At 39.6% G+C, this 26,633-nt stretch overlaps 1 protein-coding gene across 11 annotated transcripts in view, besides 1 other annotated feature; it reads right to left on the reverse strand.

The window, feature by feature from the left end:
* The window catches only part of AVEN (apoptosis and caspase activation inhibitor), a 223,545-nt gene that overhangs the window by 65,457 nt on the left and 131,455 nt on the right, over positions 1 to 26,633 (reverse strand). The window lies entirely within an intron of this gene.
* Positions 24,214 to 24,263: a silencer, noted in NCBI's record as "silent region_6272". NCBI's record gives its function as "represses an Ori minimal core promoter by ATAC-STARR-seq in GM12878 lymphoblastoid cells {active_cell/tissue: GM12878}" and the evidence as "EXISTENCE:reporter gene assay evidence [ECO:0000049][PMID:35858748]".

The following is a 26,633-nucleotide window of genomic DNA, read 5'->3' on the forward strand; positions in this document are numbered from 1 at the left end:
GTAATCATACAAAAAAGATACTTGCACATACGTTTGTAGCAGCACAATTTGCAATACAAAAATATGGAACCAGCCTAAATGCCCATCAATTAATGAATGGATAAAGAAAATGTGGTGTGTGTGTGTGTGTGTGTGTGTATACACACACACACACACACACATGGAATACTACTATATATATACACACACTATATATATACACACATATATACACACACACATATATATACACATACATCATGGGATACTACATATATATACACACGGAATAATTCACACACATACGTGTATATATATATATATATCAATCACACATGTGTATGTATACACACACACACACACAATGGAATACTACATATATATACACACATGGAATATACATATATATACACACACACCATGGAATACTACTCAGCCATAAAAAGGAATGAAATAATGGCATTCACAGCAACCTGGATGGAATTGGAGATTACTATTCTAAGTGAAGTAACTCAGGAATGGAAAACTAAACGTCATATGTTCTCACTCATAAGTGGGAGCTAAGTTATGAGGATGCAAAGGCAGACTCAGGGGTAAGTGTGGGAGGGGGGTAAGGGATAAGACTACACACTGGGTACAGTGTACACTACTCAGGTGATGCGTGCACCAAAAACTCAGAAATCACCACTGAAGAACTTATTCATGTAAGCAAACACCACCTGTTCCCTAAAAATTTATTGAAATAGAAAAGAAAAATATATGATTCTTCAAAGATTTAGTACAAAATAAAAGTAATTTTTCTATTAATTACAGGTTGAAATAATATTTTGGATATATCCAGTTCAATAAAATACATTAGCACCATTAATTTCACTTTTTTCTACTTTTTATTTTGTTTCATAATGAAATATGCAACAAAGACAAAAATAAGTTGTTTCATTCTAAGCTTTCTGATATAAAAGCAGATTCTCATACGTATCTAAGCAAAGCAAAGCAAGTGCTATTGGCAGGACTGGAAAAAATTAATCAACATTTTAAAACTGCTTGAAGCTTCTTTTAAATAACCATAAATTTTAAGCTCATTTAGCTCCTACTATGTACTTTTAAAATCAAACTAATAATAGGAACCTAGCCATAGTTTTCTAAATCTTGCTTATTTAGTTGAACATCGCTATAATTTGTCAAAGAAAAGCATTTCATAAAATGTGATGATGTTGTGTCTTCCCAGTCTTAAATTACAGCTTTTTTTTTTTTTTTTTTTTTTTTTTGTGAGACAGTCTTGCTCTGTCACCCAGATTGAAGTGCAGTGGCGTGATCTCAGCTCACTGCATGCAGTCTCTGCCTCCCGGGTTCAAGCGATTCTCCTGCCTCAGCCTCCTGCGCACACCACCAAGCCTGGCTAATTTTTTGTATTTTTAGCAGAGATGGGGGTTTCTCCATGTTGGCCAGGCCGGTCTTGAACTTCTGACTTCAGGTGATCTGCCCGCCTCAGCCTCCCGAAGTGCTGGGATTATAGGCAAGAGCCACCACACCCAGCCTACAGCATCCTTTTTGTAATTAAACTTTTTCTTCTAAATGATGTTGTCTTAATTGACTAAACAGAATTTCCTCAATGTGAAGGAAATTAATCTACCTTTTTAAGGAGAGGTTAATGCTACTGCCATCTGGTCATCAAACACATGAAATAGCCCATGCCTCTGCTTTTCTGTTTTTTTTTTTTTTGAAATGGAGTCTCACACTGTCCCCCAGGCTGGAGTGCAGTGGTGTGATCTCAGCTCACTGCAACCTCCGCCTCCCAGGTTCAAGCAATTCTCCTGCCTCAGCCTCCCGAGTAGCTGGGATTACAGGCACCTGCCCATCACGCCCGGCTAATTTTTTGTATTTTTAGTAGACACAGGGTTTCACTCTGTTGGCCAGGCTGGTCTCAAATGCCTGACCTCGTGATCCACCCACCTCGGCCTCCCAAATTGCTGAGATTACAGGTGCTTTTGTGTTTTTAAGAAAAAAATCCATACTAATATCTTGCTAACATAAATATTCTTAGCAGAAGAAAAATAAATCCCAGAATTTATTTTTCAATACTCCAAATTTCAATAACGTCTAAAAACATTAGATAACAGTGATGTTATACAGCAAAGGGAAATCTAGCAAGGCAATTCTAACTTTAGAAAGACAAATTGGTATCTCTCAAACAGCAGTCATGCAACTTTGGTGTATATCAGAATCATCTGAAGGGCTTATTAAAAGTAGAAATGCCCAGGTTCTACCCAAAAGCAATGAAATCAGAATCTACAAGGGTGAAGTCAATATCTATAATTTTATCCCCAAATCTCAGTGGAATATCAATCCCCCTTAGACAACAAGAAGGGTATGGGAATGAACCATATGAATTCTGTCCACTACTCAGCAAACACCTCAGAAATGTGTGGCTTAGAATAAGAGCACAGAGGGAAAAGAAGAGCAAGCCAAAGGCATTTTCTGTAGGGGATGCTACTTCCAGATATGTGACAATACACACACATTATTTAACTGATAATTTCACTGAGCACATTCCAGGTATTTGGCCTCATTCCCTAAATTAACACGAAGTACAAAAAAATTTGAACCAACCATTAAGAAGCTTCCCATCCAACAGATTTCCATTCATAATGAATGTAGATAAGTATCACTTCCACAGAATACACACAAGCCTCTGTTTCCTAGTCTGATTACAATCTCCTATGTCTTTGGCATTTTCCCAGTATGCCTACTCTTTAAGACCTCTTCCTAACCTCTTATTCCTTCCCTATCCATCTCCTCCATCAGAACTAACTACTCACGTGAACCTACCCTCAATAGTACCCCTTGTTACCTTATTCTACACTGGCCCAGCAAAACCCTAACCCTGGATTAATGAGATTTCTTCTTCTATATGCAACAGGGTGCTAGAGTCAACCATGCAATGCAGATTTGTCCTACAATCTTAATTGTGGTAAAAATACACATCACATAAAATGTGCCATCTTAAACATTTTTAAGTGGAAACAGTTCAGTAGCATTAAGTATATGCATATTGTCCTGCAACCAATCTCCAGGACTTTTTCACCTTGCAAAGCTGAAACTACACTCATTAAACAACTCATTTCCCCATCTCCCCAACCCCTAGCAACCACCATTCTACTGCTTCTATCAATTTGACTTCTTCAGTACTTCATATACACGGAATCATACAGTATTTGTCTTTTTGAGGCTGGCTTATTTCACTCAATCCCACTACTTGTTGTCAATATCACGGTATTCCTTTTGATAGCAGTCTCATTCCTAAATCTGACTTATATCTTAACCCCAGTACACTTTTATCTTTCAACGAAAAGAACATGCTCCTTTTCTGATAACAAAAGTAATCCATGTTCAAAGCAAAACACTTTAAAAACGCAAAGAAAAAATGTATGTGTCTTGCCATGAGACTGTGCTCTTAAGGACAAGGGCCACACCTGATTCATCTCTGGATCTCTGGCACAGTGGCAAGTACATAAAAGACACTTACATGTTTGATGATTACTTTTCCAAATATACTTCCTTTTTTTTTAGATGAAGTCTTGCTCTGTTGCCCAGGCTGGAGTGCAGTGGTGCAATCTCGCAATCTCGGCTGACTGCAGCTTCTGCCTCCTGGGTTTTCAAGCGATACTCCTGCCTCAGCCCCCCAAGCAGCTGGGACCACAGGCGCACACCACCACACCCAGCTAATTTGTGTATTTTTGGTAGAGACGGGTTTCCACCATGTTGCCCAGGCTAGTTTGGAACACCGGAGCTCAAGTAAGCCACCCACCTCAGCCTCCCAAAGTGCTGGGATTACTGGCGTGAGCTACCGCACCTGGCCCTTCCTCGTGTTTCAATAGGTAAATTTATGTGTGCCCTTGATAACTGTTTAACGCTTTTCCACAAAGCAAAATTTCCATTCTCATCACTATTATTAGTTAGTAGTAGCAGTATTCAAGTATTTTAACAACACATAGCTCAAGCTCCTAGTAGATAAAGATTAATCTTCTCAGTACTGCACCTAAGCACCTAAGATAGTGCCCACCCTGAAGGAGCTCATGATCTAATTAAGAAGAAAGGCAAGTTCCAGGTGACAGACACAGACAGTAACTACTAATTCCAAAAAGAGTCTGCTGCAAATTGAGACAGTTTTTCAGAACAGGTGAGATTTAATCTCGAATTGAGAGAACAGGGAGGAGAGTGAGAGAGAGTGCATTCCTGGAAGAAGGAACTTAGGAAAAGTCAAAGAAATAAGGAAGGCACACTTGAGGTAGAGGCAGCAATATATAGTTGGCAAAGAGGATTCTTCAAGAAAATGGAAGCCAAGAAAGTTGGAAAGGTAAGTTGGGAGCAGCCTGTGCATTGCCTTGAGATGGTGGGATAAGATATTTAAACTACATTCCACAGAGTGGCAACAAGAATATTTAGAAAACAATGACATCATGAGGGTTTGAGCATCAGAAAGGCTCATTTGGACACTTCCTTTCCTATTCTGAAGAGACAAGAATCATACTCAAAATGTAAGCACATCCACAAATCTCAAACTTTAACAAAAGAGAACAGAAGAAAACTCAGCACACATGCTAACTGACCTGGCTATATTATTATTGTCTTGTCTCTGCTCAGGCTGGAGGGAGAGATTGGGAAAAAATGGTTAGCAGCAAACCTACAGTTCATTTCTCCTTAAGAGCAGGGAGCGGAGGGTGGGGAGGGGTCTATGGAAACACTCCTAGTAAATAAAGAAAGGAGGTAGTTAACCTGGTCAATTCTCCTTGTAAACATACTAGTGTCAGATCTCTTGACAAACAATCCAATGGTGTTTATTAGTAAGAAAGTCCCTATCGATGGATTTTAGCAGGACGTATCTAATCTGTCTAGGATTACTTCTGGTTAACAAATTTGGAATCTTTCAATATAGGGAGTATAGCCCCTTGGAAAATATGTCACATAAGTTATGCAACCACTGGAGTACAAAGCGAAAATGATTCCTAATGGAAACAGCTTCCTAACATACCACAGGCATTGCTTCTAAGCCCTTGTACCTTAAATCTGGGCCCACAGCATCCTAGTGCAGCTAGAGAGGACCTGGAGAGTAGGGATGGATGGCTATCCTGTACCTGAGGACTACTCGTATTCCTGAACATTATTAGTAAACCTTGATGTAAGCTAAGGGCTGATTCTTGTGAATGTGATTTGACACTTTTTTTTCTCTTATTTTTGAGACAGGGTCTCACTCTGTTGCCCAAGTTGGAATGCAATGGCATGATCATGACTCACTGCAGCCTCAACCCCTGGGCTCAAGAGATGCTCCCGCCTCAGCCTCCTGAGCAGCTGGGACTACTGGCATGTACCACCACACCCAGCTAATTTTTATTTTTTGTAGAGATGGGGTCTCACTATGTTGCCCAGGCTGGTCTGGACTCCTGGCTTCAGATCCTCCCACCTCAGCCTCCTCTAATCACAAGTGCTGTGATTACAGGTGTGAGCCACTGGTACCCAGTTCCTGATTTGACAACCTAATTCTCTATATTATCTCAGAGGCCTTCTCTTCTTACAGCTTATTTCATGAAATATGCTTTCTGCTTTACTTCTTATGCTCTTTCTTGGGTGAGGAAGGGTGTCTGTGACTCAATCCTTAGGACATCCACAATTCCCTGTAAAAAGTTCAATCAAAGTTTTATCAGGAATGAATGAATGAAAATGTTGAATTTACATCTGTTTTATAGCTATTCTAATCAGTTTCTCATGTATATGTGTATATATACACTTAATGAATATCAACTTAAAATAATACTTTATGAGTTAACCTGATTTAGAACACATATTTTAAGAATGCAAATTCATACTATAATTAGAAAGTTTTCACAAGATTAAGGCAAACTACATTAAAATAGGATAAGCTAAGAGAGAGAGAGAGATAAGCTTGGTAATTACCATGCTTTTGTTCCATTTCAATGAAACAACCTTATTAGGTAGAAAAAAGAACTAGTAATGTAAGATTTAGCCAAACATTGTTTTACAAATTACAAAAAGGAGTAATTGTGTATTCTATCCTTGAAACATATGTTTAACTCCTATAATTTTAATAATCATATGTAACCTTACAATAGTCAAGCACATGCATTAATGAAGAGTAGTAAGTTAATTCCTCAAAGCATATTACTTGATTTATTCTGTGACTTCCAAATTACAAGACGTGGAATTGTGAGAGCCTGCAGTTACAAACGTAGAGCTGAGATGGGCAAACTTTCAGTAAATAGTTAAATAGTAATTACTTTAACTTTGTGGGTCACACAGTCTCTGTTGTAACTACTCAACTAGCTGCTATAGTGCAAAGGCAATCAGTCAATAAGTAAATAAATGGGTGTAGCTGTGTTCTAATAAAACTTTATTTATAAAAGTTGGCAATGAGCCATATTTGGCCCTCAAGTGGTTGTTTGCCCACCATGATGTACAGCATGGGTTCCCAACCCCTAGGGGTTAGGAACCAGGCCACACAGCAGGAGGTAAGTGGCAAGGCAGGGGAGAGTGAGCAAAGCTTCATCTGTATTTACAGCCACTCCCCATCCCCATTCTCACAAGAGCACAAACTCTATTGTGAACTGCACCTAAGAGGGATCCAGGTTGCTACTCCTTATGAGAATCTAATGCCTGATGATCTGTCACTATCTCCCATCACCCCCAGGTGTGACTATCTAGTTGCAGGAAAACAAGCTCAGGGCTCCCACTGATTCTACATTATGAGTTGTAAAATTATTTCACCATATATTACAATGTAATAATAATAGAAATAAAGTGCACAATAAATGTAATGAGCTTGAATCATCCCTAAACTATCCCCCCCTTTTCTGGTCCACAGAAAAACTGTCTTCCATGAAACCAGTCTCTGGTGCCAAAAAGGTTGGGGACCACTAATGCATAGTATTTCTGTCTCCACTATTTGTTGAGTGCCTAAAGCAATCAAGGCACTCAGAGGACTAGGGGTACGGTAGTCCTCTGCAGAGAAATGCCTGTAGTCCCACCTACTCGGGAGGCTGAGGCACAAGAATCATTTGAACCCCGGAGGTGGAGGTTGCAGTGAGCCGAGATCATGCCACTGCACTCCAGCCTAGGTGACAGAGCGAGACTGTCTCAAAAAAAAAAAAAAATTATTATTTTTTTCCTGGCACGACGCAGTCTTGACCTCCCAGGTTCAGGTGATGTTTCCACCTCAGCCTCTGAACTATAGGCATGTGCCACCAAACCGAGCTAAATTTCCTGATTTTTTTGTAGAGACAGGGTTTTGCCATGTTGCCCAGACTGGTCTTCAACACCTGGGCTCAAGCCATCCACCTGCCACAGCCTCTCAAAGTGCTGGGATTATAGGCGTGAGCCACCACACCTGGCCAGCACATCATTTTAAACTGCTTCATTATGATTGTCTTATACTATTTTATCAAATACGTTCATGGAGTTTTTCAAAGCATTTTGAAGTATTAAATTATTTGAAGCATTAATTTATAGAGATGTAAGCTTTCAGAGTACCTTCTTGCTTCAACTGTAGAATATTTCATTATTATCAAGGACCCATAATTGCTGGCATTATTTGAAGAAAGACATAGGTAATAAATAATTGAGAAAATTTGGAACCTACTCTGAATTAAATAGATAATATATGTAATTCATTATATACATATATTTTAAAATATGAATTATGTTTGCAACTGTGATTGATAAATGCAACTGACTGGTTAAACATATTTTTAGAACTCCTTTTGCCTTACCTACAAACAACCTTATGTTACCAAATTTCGCTTTAGGAAATATTTAATTATTCATATCAAAATTAGAATTTAAACTCATTCTTTATTAAACTCTGTGTTAACTATATTGGTGTTTACATGTCTTCTGGCTTTTATTATAAAGCAACTTGATGATGGCTTCACACAAGCCCCTGTACCTTCCTCCCTATGATTCCCTAAAGCAATTACAAGAAAAAGTACCACTTTGTCTCAACCTAACATCATTTTTTGCAAAGTCCCAGGGATAAATGATTAATGTTAGCATTAGATGGGGAGACATCTACCCCAACCTCCCTCTGATACCTTCCTTTCTATAAGATAAAACCAGGACTGTTCATATGATACCCACAGAATTAAGATAAAATTGGTGGTCAAAGAAGGAAGTCTGGCTAAAGACTTTAGTGAAGACACTTTGGTTGAAGAAATGGGACAAATAGGGCCATTCCATGCCAATGCCAATAGTTTCCCTGGTGCTCCAGTCACTGCGGTGACAGCACTGCAATGGTATTAGGACCCTCAGAACCATAGGCAGTGCTTTTAAGACAGGTGTGCCGGTTAATGGCTGTTAATTGCATAAGACACTTAAAAGTAATTCCTGCCCATCAGCACGGGTGAGAGCTGATACTACTAACTAGTAAGACTGTAGTGAATGAGGTGCATTATAAAGAATTTTATCCAACAAGGTACCACAGTAAGGTTAATTTATATGCTGATACTCTCTTTAGTGGGAGAAAGAATTTCAAATCATGGCTAGAAGTCAACTCTGAACCTACTTGAGATGGAAAGTTTTTATAATTATATTTTATTTACCTTTAAAGACTGAAATCCTATGCTTCCCTTTTTGGAGCACTGTTCTAACATGATTATTAAGAAAACATTCCTTATGTTTCATCAGACTCTTCCTGTATTATTTAAGCTATTTTCTCTTAATTATGCCTTCTCCGCAAATGAAGGTATTGGGCGATATCCTTGAAGCAACCATGTATGTGCTGTTTTTCCAAGACGCCATTTTCATTTGTGCTAACGGTTTCAACATAGTTTTTCAGATGGCAGGGGAACATTACCAAATCACCTCTATATATCCATAAAGCATATATGGACTAAAAAATCAAAAATGTGAAAAGTATTTCCCAGAGTCTGGAAAACACAGTGCAATTAAGCAGCTATTCAATAACCTGCCCTCTCACTGCCTAACCTGTCTCAATTTTTGTGTTTTCTCCAGAACCCTATTTATGGCTCCTTTCATTCTAGCTTCTCTTCTACAAATCTTTCTCTTCTTAACTCTCCTAAAGTAGGGAAAACAAAATACATCCCTACTAAGCATGCTGGAAAGGTCACTTTCTGGCCTTGTGAGGATTGGGATCACGGCAGCTCTATTAGGATTTGAGAGGCAGTGCAGGGGCGGTCAGGAAGTGAACCGTGGAGTCTGAGCTTTGACCCCAGTGCTACTATTTATTGACAGGTTATTTAGAATCTCCGTGCCTCAGATTTCTCCTCTTTAAAATGAAAGTAAGATTAGGCACAGAGGCTCATGCCTATAATCCCAGCATTTGGGGAGGCTGAGACAGGAGGATTGCTTGAGGGCAGGAGCTCAAAACCAGCCTAGACAACATAACCAGACCCTGTCTCTACAAAAAAACTTAGAAATTATTATTATTATTTTGAGATGGAGTCTCACTCTGTCACCCAGGCTGGAGTGCACAATCTCAGCTCACTGAAACCTCCACTGCCTGGGTTCAAGCGATTCTCCCACCTCAGCCTCCCGAGTAGCTGGGATTACAGGCATGTGCCAACACACCCAGCTAATTTTTGAATTTTTAGTAAAGAGAGGGTTTTGCCATGTTGGCAAGGCTGGTTTCAAACTCCTGACCTCAGGTGGTCTGCCTGCCTCAGCCTCCCAAATTGCTAGGATTACAGGAGTGAGCCACTACACCCAGCTAGAAATAAAATAAAAATAATTTTAAAAAGAAAATAATAGCCTGTAATCCCAGCACTTTGGGAGGCTGAGACAGGCGGATCACAAGGTCAGGAGATTGAGACCATCCTGGCTAACACGGTGAAACCCCATCTCTACTAAAAATACAAAAAAATTAGCCGGGTGTGGTGGCGGGCGCCTGTAGTCCCAGCTACTGGGGAGGCTGAGGCAGGAAAATGGCTTGAACCCGAGAGGTGGAGCTTGCAGTGAGCCAAGATCATGCCACTGCACTCCAGCCTGGGTGACAGAGCGAGACTCCATCTCAAAATAATAATAATAATAATAATAATAATTGAACTTCCTAAGACTTAAGTGAGATGATATGTTAAGTGCTCTTAACAGTGCCCAGTAAATGGAAAGTGTCTGCATTGAATCATTGAAATGAATTAATTACCAATAATAATAATAGTTAATAATTATCAATAATAATGATAGTTAATTCATCTCAATGATTCTCCAGTGCCAACTATATGTATAAAACACTCTAAAAAGCACTGTTTCTAACCATACTTTGCTATGATGTTCTGATATTTCTCTACTGGAAGATACAGACTGATTGGAGGTAATTTACAACAAGGCTAACAGAACAAGCTTCAGGGCTCCTCACTTGCACAGGCCCCTTCCAAGGCCTTGGGAGGCCCAAGGCACATATTCACATGGTCACATGTTTCTGTAGAATTTGGAGGCCCTAGCAATGTATTACATGGTCATATATTTTTGTAGAATGTGCAAAAGAAAGATATTTTAACTGCAATCTGTTAAGAACACTTTCTTTCCATTCAAACTTCACACTTTTCCTCATGTAGGGTGGCTTTGGTGTGGCCCTGGAACCTTGGAGGGTCTAGATAAGGGGAAATTTGAGTTGGGGACATATTTAATGTGGTTTCTGTAGTGCTGGCCCTCTTGGTATAGGAATAGCTTTCTGGAATATTCCCACTGCCCACTGTGCCAACTCAGCATCAGGACACAACAGTACAGGCTGGAGAGCTTACTGTGTGTCCTACTATGCCTGGTGATGAAGTAGGTGGGTAGTGGAGAAGAAACAGGTTTGGAATGTATAAAGAAGCTAATCCATGCGAAACTTTTCCAACCACCACGTGGGTAAAACTGTAGGCTAAAGATTCAGCTCTTTTCAACACCTTGTCAAAATGGAAGTCTCTCTGTTGAGTAAGGCAGTAAAATACTACTATTAAAGAATGTTACATAAAACTCATAATGAGCCACTACAACAAAGACACAAACAAACTGGTTACTGACTGTTGTAAATTGAAAGATTAGTCCCTGCAAAAGAAAACTTGAAAGCTCTGAAATCTTACAGTTCATATTATGAAAGAAACTTGAGAAAGGGATTCCTAAATTTGACAACAGAAACCTGGCCAGCAAGCTAAAAGAAAGCAAGGGATCAATCTCTGGCAGAGAGGGCTGTAGAGTTACTGGAAAGGTGGCCCTGGAAGTATCAGAGGTAAGGAGATACTGTGGACAGCAGACGTAAGGCTGAAGAATGCCTTATGAGGACTAATTAATAGTACAAGAGGTTGAGGCTGAGGTTGAGAAACAGTCAACAAGTAGAGTGCTCTCCAAGACGCAACTGAATGGGGGAGGCAGAGGAGGAAATAGAGCTCTATGCATCCAAGGGTGGGCAAGGATGTATGGAGTAAGCCATCCTGACTTGATTGCCACATGAACCCAGAAGCTGACACAGAAAGGGAGCTCAGCCATCCTTCCCAGAGGGACTGCACAAGTACCAAGAGTCACAGAGAAACTAATGGGGAGGTGCTCCCAGGCAGGAAGGGCCTTTAATGCAGTAGCCCTGGGTCTAAAATCAGTCCAGATGTGTCTTCAAAAGGCACCTGCCTCATGGACAAGAATCAACATAATAACAAATAAAGCAGAATTTCTTCCTCCCCTTCCCTGATATGGTATTAAATAATACTGTGGAATACTACCTAAGATGTTCCTACTCTAGAGATGAGAACCTCCAGCAAGGTAGTACCCATCTAATCATAACGGCCTCAAGAAACTCAAAGTGACAGTCATGTGGAACAGAATAAAAATTCTTACTAAGTTCCATAACAGTTGTATCTCTTGCTTCCTGCTTATAGAAAATTTATTCTTGGTGGGGCCTTAGAACCATGGAGTTGGAGAATGGGGTGCCTGACCTAGAATACCAAACTATGTTCAATATAAAATGTACGTGTTTTATCACCTTAGCACCTGAATCTCAGCAGTTCTTTGAGGCATTCTGCTTCCCACACACATTTGATTCCCTCCATGGTAAGTATGCTGACTGTTATCCGCTGAGGCATATAAATGTTAACCCTGTCACCCAGGAAGGCTAAAGTCATACTTCCTCAAGTCCTGACTTCATATTTTGAGTAACAATTTCAAGTGAGTTGCCCACACTGCATAGCTGTAGACAGTCTTTCAACTGATAGGACTAGGGCCAGCCTCTGGGCCGAGGGAAAAAGAGTAAACCACTTTGTAGGACTGATGCTGGTGCCAGCCTTGTGAGCTACCCAAGTAAAAGAGGCTAGTTTACAAGGCTGCTAAATTACTAATGCTTCAAGGATTCATCGGACTTTCAACTGTTTAAACCACAAAACTAAAGCAAGAATTCTCTATCACCATTAAAAAATTAGAATATTTCACCAAGCAACCTAAATTTGCACACAAAATGGGGGGAAAATTACTGTGACTAATTATTCTTTACTACCCTTTCCAAAGATAGATCAAAACATCTTTTAACAAATGTCAATTTAATTTTACTGCTAAAGAGAAGCAGCAGGTGATAAATGGGAAACACAGTGTCCCTAAATACACATTGAAGCAGATCAGCTTAATCTTCACATATTTAAGAAATGAAATTAATTCAGAACAAACAGGGGCATAAGGCATTAAACTACTAGGGAACTGAATAAAAAGTCTATGATAACCGGCTGATGAAATAGAAGTATGCTCAATTATAACTGGTATAACCGCCGCTTAAAAAAATATTCCTCCAGTCCTTTCTTCATAAGTGCTACAAATCATTCATCCAGTGGAGAAATACTAAAGGGGCCCTATAAAAGCACCAGTGTCTTGACGAACAGATTAGGAAACTGTTCTAGCATGCCATGGTAAGTCTCCAAAGCAATAGAAAAAAATTAACAAATACCTTCCATCCCTTTACACATCTTCTTCTGCCATCTTTCTCCATCCTTCTGGTCTATTGTTTCCTACTCTAAGAGTGAGCAGAACCATGTCCCAAGGAGATTTTATTATGGACCTGATTTGGGATGACATCTTGACATCTAGTCACCCAAGATAAGAAGTAAAGCATTACTCTAGTATTATTTTGAGTCCATCTAGGACAAAAAAAAAAAAAATGTAATCCTTAAAGAGAGTTTATTAACTAACTACTAATTTTAGGTTCAGTTTAAGCCAAGTAAACATCAGGTCCTAGACATAAAGAAACATGATACAAAAGAATGTGAACATGTATAAAATACTCATAAATTGTAATCCATAACTATTTTCTCAAAGACATGGAGCTAAATAATCTCTCTTCTTTTCACATAAAACAGCCTACATATACTTTCTTACGAAATCTAAAATGCTATGGGAATAGTCTGTATCCAAAATTAAGATTATCATGTTCAATATGAAATTCAGAATGAAAAGTAATCTGTTACAACTTAAGAACTGGCCGGGCGCGGTGGCTCACGCCTGTAATCCCAGCACTTTGGGAGGCCGAGGCAGGAGGATCACGAGGTCAGGAGATTGAAACCATCCTGGCTAACATGGTGAAACCCCATCTCTACTAAAAATACAAAAAATTAACCGGGTGTGGTGGCGGGCACCTGTAGTCCCAGCTATTTGGGAGGCTGAGGCAGGAGAGTGGCATGAACCTGGGAGGCGGAGCTTGCAGTGAGCCAAGATCACACCACTGTACTTCAGCCTGGGCGACACAGTGAGACTCTGTCTCAAAAAAAAAAAAAAAAAAAACTTAAGGATTACTAAGGGGTGTGACTGCAGGGTAACAATGATTTCATGATTTCTAAACATTCTCTGGGCAGATCCCATATTTTTACACACCCCTTAGAATAATTAGACGTTAGTACTTTTCTTTTGTCTTTTAGAATGACTACCAACGATGGATACGGCACAAACAATGAGGAAATTATCTATAGTCTAAATTAGAAACCATGCTCCCTTGTTAAGAAAGGCAGCTTTCAATAACAAATTTAAATATTTAATTCTATTTATAGGATCATTTGTATGGACTTGTTTTGCACTTGTTTCAGTCAACACATAACCATCAAATTAAGGGACCTTTTAAATTTATTTATTTGCCAAAAAGAAACTATGCTGAATATTTTCTTTTTTTTTTTTTTTTTTTTTTTTTTTTTTTTTTTTTTTGAGACGGAGTCTTGCTCTGTCACCCGGGCTGGAGTGCAGTGGCACAATCTCGGCTCACTGCAAGCTCCGCCTCCTGGGTTCACGCCATTCTCCTGCCTCAGCCTCCAGAGTTGCTGGGACTACAGGCACCCGCCACCACACCCAGCTAATTTTTTGTATTTTTAGTAGAGGCGGGGTTTCACTGTGTTAGCCAGGATGGTCTTGATCTCCTGACCTCGTGATCTGCCCGCCTCGGCCTCCCAAGTGCTGGGATTACAGGCGTGAGCCACCGCGCCCGGCCTGAATATTTTCACTAAACTTATTAAAGTGTTACAACAAAATCAAGTAATTAATTTAAATTCTCTTATTTTACTTTTTTTAAAAAAATAAAGAGCTTGGTCATTAGAATTCACATAGTAAGCAGAAGGCAAGACCCAATTGATTAGAAAGATCCCTTTCTCACAGCTAGAAGTATAGTTGATTTGCAATTGGGAAAAATAGCTCATCAGTCAAAACCATCCCCCTGATGGAAGAGAGACAGAGATGAGAGAAAGAATAAAGCATCCAGAATCCTCACATTCATGTGGAAAGGCTTGATTCTAAGATGAGCTTGATCTCCAGGGAAGTAAATCACAATAAGCAGTATTATCCAGCATTCTATAAGGCTGGTTTGAACAGACTTCCAGCATGTAAAAGTCAGAAAATTTAGAGCATCTTATGAGGTGAAGATTGCAGACCACTAAGAGCAGCATCAGAAACTACAATCAAACTACAATGCTAAAAGAAATGAGCAGAACCTTGAAGAATAAACACACATTCTGAAAACCTTTGGTCTTTTTTTGTAACTTATACTAAATAACATATACCCAATTTGGCAAGTTCAGAACTACCATTTCCAAATCAACAAAACAGCAAGAGTCTCCATGTCCACCAGTGATTCACATGTTAACAAGTCATACAGTGATCTTGTCAGTTCTAAGTGTGTACTCCGTGGACAGTGCCATGAAGACAGACATAGTTCCCAGGACAACTCTATGTACACTGACATTACTAGGTACACGTTTTTGCAAGATTAACTCTATGAGGAAGTTAAACTGTAACAAGAATAATACACAGTTATGAAGAAGAATAAGAAATGGTCTCCTTAAGCCAGCGTTACTTTTAAATTGTAGGTCTGGGCTGGGCGCGGTGGCTCACGCCTGTAATCCCAGCACTTTGGAAGGCTGAGGTGGAGGGATCATGAGGTCAGGAGTTCAAGACCAGCCTAGCCAACATGATGAAACCCTGTCTCTACTAAAAATACAAAAATTAGCTAGGTGTGGTGGCCGGCGCCTGTAATCCCAGCTACTCAGGAGGCTGAGGCAGGAGAATTGCTTGAACCCTAGAGATGGAGGTTGCAGTGAGCCGAGATCGTGCCATTGCACTCCAGCCTGGGTGACAAGAGCAAGACTCCATCACAAAATAAACAAACAAATAAATAAATAAATAAATAAATAAAAATTGTAGATCTTGACACATCAGTGGTTTGTTAAATCAATATAGTGGGTGTCAGCATTTTTAGATGAAATAAATAATAGAACACAACACTGCATGCAGTAAATGCAAGATTTATTTCATGAATCTTTTGTTTCTGGTATATGTGGGAGAAGGGTAGCAAAACAAACTGTATTTCCTATTTGGATCCCATTCAAAAATGTTTGAAAGCTACTGGCTCAAGCATTGCCTTTACAAACAGAATATACTAATCAGAGATGAAGATGAAGGGACACCTGAAAGAATGTCCCTCCTCACACGCTGGCAGCTCCAGTATCACAAAGGTTATTATTATAGGTAGGTTACGACAACTCTGTGTCGTTAGATAAGAGTGGAATATATTCAAAAGACAGCCCTTGTCTCTCTCTGTTCTACACAAAGCTGGAGTATAATGGTCTTTCCAAAGCAGTAACAAGGTTGTAAAACTCTCAGGGAACTTGGTTAGACCTGAGTGATCTGTTCAGCTCCATATGGAGATGGAGAGAAATGAATGTGGATGCTAAACTGGACTAGATGGTATCTCCCCCTCTCTATGGAAACACTCCAATTGAATTAGGCTCAGGAAGTAAGCCAGGCCTGGCCTCCAACAATCACACACACACACACACACACACACACACACACAGAGAGAGAGAGAGAGAGAGAGAGAGAGAGAGAGAGAGAGAGAGAGAGAGAGAGAGAACTGAGGCATCCTCCATTGGAGCTCCAGTCTCTTTTTCTCTCATACCCACGCACCATGCTAGGGCCTGTACAAACTGAGTTAGAAAAATAGTCTCAGCCGGGTGCAGTGGCACATGCCTATAATCCCAGCACTTTGGGAGGATGAGGCAGGCAGATCACCTGAGGCCGGGAGTTCAAGACCAGCCTGGCCAACATGGCAAAACCCTGTCTCTGCTAAAAATACAAAAATTAGCCAGGAGTGGTGACACACACCTGTAATCCCAGCTACTCAGGTGGCTGAGGCACAAGAATTGCTTGAACTGGGGAGGCAGAGGTTGCAGTGAGCCAAGATTGCACCACTGCACTCTGGTTTGGGTGATGGAATGAGACTCTGTCTCACACACAGACACATACAAAAACGACTGGTTTGAAACAGGAATTTTCTTTGCTCAAGAAATCCCTCTGTTCTCATTGCTGAGGCTCAATCTATTATATACTCAAATTAAGATATTATGATTAAAAAGATCTTCAGGACCAGGTGTGGTGGCTCATGCCTGTAATTCTAGCATTTGGGAAGTCAAGGCAGGAGGATGGCTTGAAGCCAGGAGTTCAAGACCAGCCTAGGCAACATAGCAAGACCCCATCTCTACAAAAAAAAAAAAAAATTAGCCATATCCATAGTCCCAGCTACTCAGGAGGCTGAGGTGGGGGACTCCTTGAGCCCAGGAGTTTGAGGCTGCAGTAAGCTATGAATATGCCACTGTACTCCAATCTGAGTGACACAATGAAACCTAGTCTCAAAAAACAAAATCTTCAGCAATTAGAGACCAAGCAATTCTTCTAGCAACCAAAAGAAGAGAAAAGAATTTGCAAGGGAGGAGGGGAAATATCACACAAAGTGTTATCTATTTCCAAGTTAATTTCTCATTTGTTTTGTGTTTTTATTCTGATCTATCTCACCTTGGACAGCTATCCTGAGCCACACAAACATAAGGGCTAGTTTCCTCCACTGCAAACTCTGTGAAGTGGAGTCTCTGCAGCACTCTAATGTCCTTGCTAGGAAGGATGACTAAGTGGTAGATGAGGACTATGTTTAACTCTTCACGTCGTGAAATCAAAGCATTACAGAAACAATCTGAGTATCATGTATTTACCTTGTATCCTGGTTACGCTCTCTCAGAATGGAAGTAACTTAGTGAAAAGTATATGGGCTACAGAATCAGGTAGATATGTCTCCAAACCTGAGCTCTATCACTTTCCAATTGTGTGACCTTGAGGAAGTTGTCTGCCTAAATTCTAACCTGTTTCCTCAACTGTGAAGGGTAAATGAGAATTCCTACTTCAAGAATTAAATGAAACGATGTAAGTAAAGGAGATAGCACACTGCCTGGCATATTATAAGTCTCAAGTATTATTTACTTTGAAAATCTTCCAGATTTTCAGCTTATTCATCTATGAAAAGAAGGATCCAAACAGATGATCACTAAGGCTCTTTCCCGGGGTGGAACGATCCATCCAAGTGCTATGAGTCCATGGGACTGATGTGTAGACATGACTAATGTATTCTGATGGCTCCACTTTCTCCTATTTTGAACCACAATATACAAACTGAAAATCCTGAGACACTTAATTGAAAACATCTCTTTCCACAGGTCGTCATAAAAATGATTTTCAAGACGTGGAAAATTCGAGGCATCTCAGGCCTTTTTCTAGGACTCTATCACACAAAAATGCTAGCTAGCACAAGTAGTTGAAGATGTATATACATGTGTATTCACAATTATTGCAATAGTCCCAAACTGGAGAATGTTTGTAATGTGGTTTGTAATTCACATAAGGATCTAAGTAGCATTTTTTTGAACTCAGAAAATGTCAATTAAATATTGTTGCATTAGAAAAGCTGCTATATATATTTGTGTATATATGTGTATATATATGTATATATGTGTGTGAGTATATATATGTGTATATATATGTGTGTGTATATATATATGGCATGATCCCACTTGGAGATTTCTATAAAGGTTATATATGTGTATAGATAAATATTTCATTAGTCTACTTTCTTTTTGTATGCTGACTACATGGAAAGTGCAAGAGAAAAAAGGTAGCAGCAATGTGTATGAATTGTTTAAGTGGTAACCTAGCGGAAAGTAGAGATTGAGGCAGCCTATCTCTATACTTCATAAGGTATCAACAGAAGAAAACATCTTAAATAGGGTGATTATGACTAATTTTTACTTCTTTTAATGTGCTTTGACTATTTTCCAAATTTTCTATACTGGATTATAAATGTTTAAGACCGAGAGGACTCCTTTATTATTTTAATTTTTTAAAGTTACCCTCAGTTACATATAGGCTCATTCATTTAGTTTTGTAATAGTGTACTTAAGGCAAGAAATACACCAAAGAATAACCTTTTAATTTCCAGAAAACAATCATAAAATGAATCGATTTCAAGATTTAAAAAAGCAAAAATACGAATGGAAGGGAACTTTCTTAAACTGGTAACAGCTATAAAAACCAACAGCAAACATTACATATCATGGTGAGATTTTAAAGGCATTCCCACTAAAGAAAAAAAAAACAACAAGGATGGCCTCTATCACTGCCTCTATTCAGCATCATGCAAAATCGATAAGAAAAAGATCAGTAGTAGAAAGGGAGAAACAAAACTAACTCTGCATACAGACAACACAGCAGACTACATGGAAAAATGCAAAAGCATCTGCAGACAAACTGCAAGGATTAATATGAGAGTTCACTAAGGTTACTGGATCAGATGTGTTCCTCTGATGACTAGAAAGCATAATTGATAAGCAATCCTTGCGTTATACCAAAAAAACTATAAAGTACCTGAGAATATAATAAAATATGTCAAAGACTCATGGAAACAATAACAACATATTATTCTACAATATAAAAGAACAGAATAAATAAATGGGGAAATTTGCCATGATCATGGCTGAGAAAACACAATATTGTAAAGAAGTCAGTTCTCCCCAGATCATTCATAACAATGTAAATACAAACAAAATCTATACATTTGGGGACTTTTGTCTTGTTTTGTGTGTGTCTGTGGTGTGTGCATGAGTGATTTAATCAACTTCTCCTAAAATTCACATGAGAGAAGAAAGGGCCACTAATACCCAAGACAATTTTGAAGAATAACAAATTAGGAGTTTTACCATCTCAGATATTAAGATTTATTGTATAACTTTAATAATTAAGACCGTACTATTGGTAGAATTAAAGACAAAGCAGTGATCAAAATTAAGACCAAAAACAGGGCCAGGCGCAGTGGCTCACGCCTGTAATCCCAACACTTTGGGAGGCCGAGGCGGGCGGATCACGAGGTCAGGAGATCGAGACCATCCTGGCTAACACAGTGAAACCCCATCTCTACTAAAAATGCAAAAAATTAGCCGGGCATGGTGGCGGGCGCCTGTAGTCCCAGCCACTCGGGAGGCTGAGGCAGGAGAATGGCGTGAACCCAGGAGGCGGTGCTTGCAGTGAGCCGAGATCGCGCCACTGCCCTTCAGCCTGGGCGACAGAGCGAGACTTCAACTCAAAAAAAAAAAAAAAAAAAGACCAAAAACAGACACTCTATCATTGTAAATCAGTGGGAAAAAGACAGCTGATTCAATTAGATGCTGGGGCAACTGTTAGCAACATTTTAAAAATTAAATCAGGGCCGGGCACGGTGGCTCACGCCTGTAATCCCAGCACTTTGGGAGGCCGAGGCGGGCGGATCATGAGGTCAGGAGATTGAGACCATCCTGGCTAACACGGTGAAACCCATCTCTACTAAAAATACAAAAAATTAGCCGGGCGTGGTGGCAGGCGCCTGTAGGCCCAGCTACTCGGGAGGCTGAGGCAGGAGAACGGCATGAACCTGGGAGGCGGAGCTTGCAGTGAGCCGAGATCACGCCACTGCACTCCAGCCTGGGCGACAGAGCGAGACTCCATCTCAAAAAAAAAAAATAAATCCTTCTACGGACTAAATGGTATCCCCCCAAAATTTATATGTTGAAGCCCTAACCCCCCAATGTGATAGTATTTAGACATGGGGCCTTTGGGAGGTAATCAGATTTAGACCAAGTCATGAGGACAGGGCCTTCACAATGGGATTAATGGCCTTATAAGAAAAGACACCAGAGAGTTTCCTCACTATTTCTGCCCTGTGAGCACAGGGAGAATGTAAGCTGTCTGCAAACCAAATGAGAGAGCTCTCACCAGACAACAACCCTTCTGGTACCTTGATCATAGACTTCCAGTCTCCAGAACTGTGAGAAAATAAATTTCTGTTGTTTAAGTCATCCAGTATATGGTATTTACAGCAGCCTGAACTAATACAAATCCCTACTTGACCAAAAAAAAAAAAAAAAAAAAAAAAAAGAAAGAGAAAAAGAATTCCAATTAAAGTACTAAATATGAAAAATCAACCATTTAAAATAAAGGAATAATAATCATAACATAAAATCATAAACTATTTAAAATAAAGGAATCATAATCATAATATCTTAGGGGGAAAGAAAGATTTCTTGGAGCAACAGGTCTGAAATAATAAAGGGAAATGTGGACAAATATGATTACTATAAAATTTAAAACCTGGCCAGTCGCGGTGGCTCACGCCTGTAATCCCATTACTTTGGGAGGCCGAGGTGGGCGGATCACGAGGTCAGGAGATCGAGACCATCCTGGCTAACACGGTGAAACCCCGTCTCTACTAAAAATACAAAAAATTAGCCGGGCGTGGTGGTGGGCACCTGTAGTACCAGCTACTAGGGAGGCTGAGGCAGGAGAATGGCGTGAACCCAGGAGGCGGAGCTTGCAGTGAGCCGAGATCGCGCCACTGCACTCCAGCCTGGGTGACAGAGCAAGACTCCGTCTTGAAAAAAATAAAAATAAAAATAAAAAATAAAATTTAAAACCTATGTTCAACAACAGACACCACAGACAAAGTAAAAAACAGGCCATTGACTGGGAGAAAAATATTTGCATACATGTAACCAACCAAAAATTAACAACTCATTCTAGAATACACAAAGAACTACAAATCTCAACTACTTGCTGGACATTCATACCTAACCTCTTAGCAGCACCTTATTCATCAAAATGCCAAACTGGTCAAATTTTTAAAACAGAGAATGCATTAGTTATGTAACCAGAATAAATGATAAAGTTATAAATTTAAAAACTCCAGATGTCTAACCACAAACATCATGCTCCCTACCAAACCGACAGGATCAGATACACCTATTTCTTTCTTCCTTTTTTTTTGTGGGGGATTGGCGGGGGGCAGAGTTTCACTCTTGTTGCCGAGGCTGGAATGCAATGGCGCCATCTCGGCTCACTGCAACCTCTGCCTTCTGAGTTCAAGTAATTCTCCTGTCTCAGCCTCCAAAGAAGCTGGGATTACAGGTGCCCACCATTACGCCCGGCTAATTTTTGGTATTTTTAGTAGAGACAGGGTTTCACCATGTTGGCCAGGCTGGTCTCGAACTCCTGACTTCGTGATTCGCCCGCTTCAGCCTCCCAAAGTGCTGGGATTACAGGCATGAGCCACCACGCCCGGCCACACCTATTTCTTTCAACGGCACTGCCATTCTACCAGTCACTAAAGCCTTGAGACCACAGGGAGGGAGGAAGAACCTCAGTCTTCCCTCTTCTTCACTTCTATACAAATTGTCACTGAATTTACAATGTGTTCAATAGTATTTAAACCAATTTCATTAATTAATTACAATTCATAAACTGCCAGAGTATCAAATGGAACCATTTTAGGAGACAGGAGCATAGGCTAGAAATCAGTATCGCTTGTTACTTACGGAGTAACACGTACAACTGAAGAAAATATGCTAAAGGCAAAATCCCCTACAGAGGTAAAATCTAAAGAAACAATAAAATATATTTACAGAGAGACAGATAATGAGCAACAGAGAAAGACAACTCACTGCCACAATAGAGGGTTGCAAAGTGCAGTGGAAATTATCAAACTACGAACCAGGAGATCTGGATTCTAATCTAAACCCTGCTTTCAAAATAGCTGTGAATTAAAGCAAGTTACATACTATCCCTCGTGTTTAGCTTTCTCATCTTAAAAATAGGATGATTGCTAAACGTTGCTACAGCTCTAAAATTCTATAAGCCTTCTGTTATAGACTGAATGCTTGTGTTCCCCCAAAACTCATTTGTTGAAACACTACCCCCTAATGTAATGGTCTTAGGAGATGGGGCCATCGGGAAGTAGTTAGGATTAGAAGAAGTCATGAGGGAGAAGCCCTCATGAATGAAATTAATATCCCTCTTTTTACTTTTTCTATTGTGGTAGAAAACATACAACGTTAAATTTACCATCTCAACCATTTTTAAGTTTACAGTTCAGTAGTGTTAAGTATATTTACATTCCTTCTACTAGTTCTGAGAGAGCTTGCTTCCTTTCTCTACCAGGTAAAGACAGAGCAAAAAGATACTCTCGAGGAACCATGAAGCAGGCCCTCAGCAGGAGGAATCTGCCGGTGCCTTCATCTTGAACCTCCCAGCCTGCAGAATTATGAGAAATAAATTTTGTCATTTAAGCCACCCAGTTTAAGTATTTTGTTATAGCAGCCTAAGCTATGACGCATTTTTTGTTAAACAGATGGGGAAAGTGTAATTTGGACTGAACAAGTAATGTAAGTCTGCAGCTCAGTTTCCTTCTAACAATCTTAAAAAATCATTAAGGCAGCTATTAACTTTCCAAAATAGAGTAATGCCAAATATTTCAATAAAACAAATTTGCTTTTTCCTCTTCTCAACCTTTCAGCTCTTCCCTAAGTTGTGAAGTGCAAATACAATATTATGAATTACTAGTTAGCAGGCCAGCTCATCCCCAGTACTGCGTCGCCAAGTACCTATGAAAGTATGCCGGTCATACCTATAAAACTGGGAAGCAGGTTGCACACATAAAGTTTAGTTGAAATGTCTTTGCAAGATGTGAAATTCCTTTTTTTTTTTGAGACAGAGTCTCGCTCTGTTGCCCAGGCTGGAGTGCAATGGCACGATCTCAGCTCACTGCAACCTCCGCCTCTCGGGTTCAAGCGATTCTCCTGCCTCAGCCTCCCGAGTAGCTGGGACAACAGGCACCTGACACCACGCCCAGATAATTTTTGTATTTTTAGTAGAGATGGGGTTTCACCATGTTGGCCAGGCTGGTCTCAAACTCTTGACCACGTGATCCACCCACTTTGGCCTCCCAAAGTGCTGGGATTACAGATGTGAGCCACCACACCCAGCCACGATATGAAATTCTTATCGCTTAGGCTGAATAGGGATTCAACCTCATCTGAACCATACATACCTCCTGTAACTTCCAACAAACCTCTTGCTCTAAATGCTTCCTAATCCATTGTTCCACGGTTTCTTTACAGAGTATTAGTTCTACAAGATGCTCGAAGAAAAAAGAATTCTACAAATGTTTCAGAAACACTACAGGTTATCCCTCATTCCTAATCAATTCACAATGAACATTCAAACATTAAAGGCTTTGAGAAGCCCCAGAGTTAAGAAATCTGATTTCTACTGTTTAATCTAGGGTTTCTCAACCCATGTGACTGTTAACACCCTTTCTTCACAGAATGTTTACTAATACCCTATAAAACTGGTATTCCAAGGAACTCACTTTGGAAGGTACTTGAGTAAAATCTTTTGCTGAAAATTTGTTATTAGATTAAATTCACATAGCTAAACTGAAACTGTTTTTTTTTTGTTTTGCTTCTGACACTGTACCATTCAAAGAATCATTTATCTATTTCTAAATATTAATTTTCCAACATCCAACTATTTAAGGTTAAACGAACAGTAAGACTTTCCTCCTGACACACGCAACTGAAACCTACCAATCAAAGAATATGGTCACATGTGACAGAAACTACCACCAGCTGTCTGGTCCAAGTATGTAAACTGCTATTATCCTGTCACAGTATAACTTATATCTTGTCTGGTTGTTCTAGTTTCAGTTTGGGAACCGCACAATTTACATTAAAAACAAAAATAAACTTTTAAGCAAAAGTTAATTAAAATACAAAGTGAGAATAATTTAAATTACCAGCAAAATAAGGGAAATAAAAACTAAAGATGGACAAGCCTTAAGACATATCCTATGAAAGAAGAAAATCTATTAAAAACAAAAAAAAATAGAACTTATGGGACAATAGTCTTACACTCCTCATTCATATGGAAAACGTCATTGCTTGAAGGTTGACTTAGATTTGCAGAGGATAGGCAATACTTGTACAAGTAGAACACATTGTTAGCTATTTACACACTTCAGCTTTCCAGTGTTTGCTTTCTTGATAGTAAGTGTTCTTTTGTACATGTAGCCATGTCAACAACAAAGAAAATAAAGGGACAGCCTGCCCTAAATTACAAACAACAAAAACACTCAGTCCTAGGAGGTTAGATAACAAAATGGTGTTTATCAAGTAAGCTTTGAATCCTTTCTAGGGATTGTGTGACACAAATCGTTACAGCACTTGAAGACTTACTGTCAAATCTCAATGAAAATCACAAAAAAATTAATCTGTCCTCATTAAATAAACTCAGTTACTATTTCCAATTACAGCTATTACTAAATAGAGAAGAAAAAGCATTGAATCTTAGCTCCTGTTGTCAAATTCTATGTTTGTATAATTTTAAGATCACATTTTTTTATATATTAATGCCCACTCCTCTTGCTGTCAGTTCACACCATCTCCCTTCAAGCTCCCATTCAAAATGTATCACTTTCAGAAAGTCTTACATTATTGACATAATTCAAGACGTCTGTCTACTCAACAACCGTGGTACTAAGTATTTAAATGAAGTTGTACTTGGTAACATGCCGCTTTGAGAGGAAGTTTTTTATCTTTTTTTTTTCTTTTCTTTTGAGATGGAGTCTCGCTCTGTTGCCCAGGCTGGAGTGCAGTGGTGCGATCTCTGCTCACTGCAAGCTCCGCCCCCCGGATTCACGCCATTCTCCTGCCTCAGCCTCCCAAGTAGCTGGGACTACAGGCACCCGCCACCATGCCCGGCTAATATTTTTGTATTTTTAGTAGAGACGGGGTTTCACAGTGTTAGCCAGGATGGTCTCGATCTCCTGACTTCATGATCCACCCACCTCAGCCTCCCAAAGTGCTGGGATTACAGGCGTGAGCCACCGTGCCCAGCCAAAGTTTTTTTATCTCTATATATGTGCATGAATTCTTCTCAATTACAATATCCTGAGGATTTCTTTTATCATTCAGGACTTATCAAAAGTTCTATATTCCTTTCATTAGAGGATCTGCCACAAAAATCATGATTTATTTGGAGCCTTCTGTTTTACCTTTAACATTCATACAGAATGTAGATTCAACACCGTAACACATTTTTTAACAGAAAAATAAAAGTGAATGTTGGCAAGAACATAAAGAAAGTGCACTGTTACTGGGGCTGTAAAATGGTGCAACTGCTATAGAAAACAGTAAGGAAGTTCCTCAAGAAATCCAAAATAGAGCTACCATATGATCCAGCAATCCTGCTTCTGGATATTTATCCAAAAGAGTTGGAAGCAGGATCTTGAAGAGGTATTTGGCTACTCATGTTCATAGGAGCACAATTCACAATAGCCAAGAGGTAGGGGCAACCCAAGTGTCTGTTGAATGGATAAACAAAATGTGGTATATATACACTATGGAACATTATTCAGCCTTCAAAAGGAAGGAAATCCTGTCACATGCTACAACATGGATGAACCTTGAGGACATTATTACCAAGTGAAATAAGCCAGTCACTAAAAGACAAATACTATATTATTCCATTTATATGAAGCATCTAAAGTAGTCAAATTCATAAAAATAGAAAGTACAATGAAGGCTGTCAGGGGCTGGGAGGGAGGGCAAACAAGGGAGATAGTGTATAATACAGAGTTTCTGATATGCAAGATGAACAAATTCTAGACTTAACCCTATGGAACTGTACAATTAAAAATTGTTACAATAGGCTGGGCACACGCCTGTAATCCCAACACTTTGGAAGGCCAAGGCGGGTGGATCACTTGAGGTCAGGAGTTTGAGACTAGCCTGGCCAACATGGTGAAACTAAAATACAAAAAATTAGCTAGGTGTGGTGGCGCACGCCTATAATCCCAGCTACTTGGGAAGCTGCGGCAGAAGAGTCACTTGAACTCAGGAGGCAGAGATTGCTGTGACTTAAGACTACTACTGCACTCCAGCCTGGGTGACAGAGCAAGACTCCGTCTTTAAAAAAAAAAAAAAAAAAAAAAAAAAGTTGTTACCATGGTAAATTAT

This window comes from Homo sapiens, chromosome 15 (genome assembly GCF_000001405.40).
Source record: "Homo sapiens chromosome 15, GRCh38.p14 Primary Assembly".
Lineage (NCBI taxonomy): Eukaryota > Metazoa > Chordata > Mammalia > Primates > Hominidae > Homo > Homo sapiens.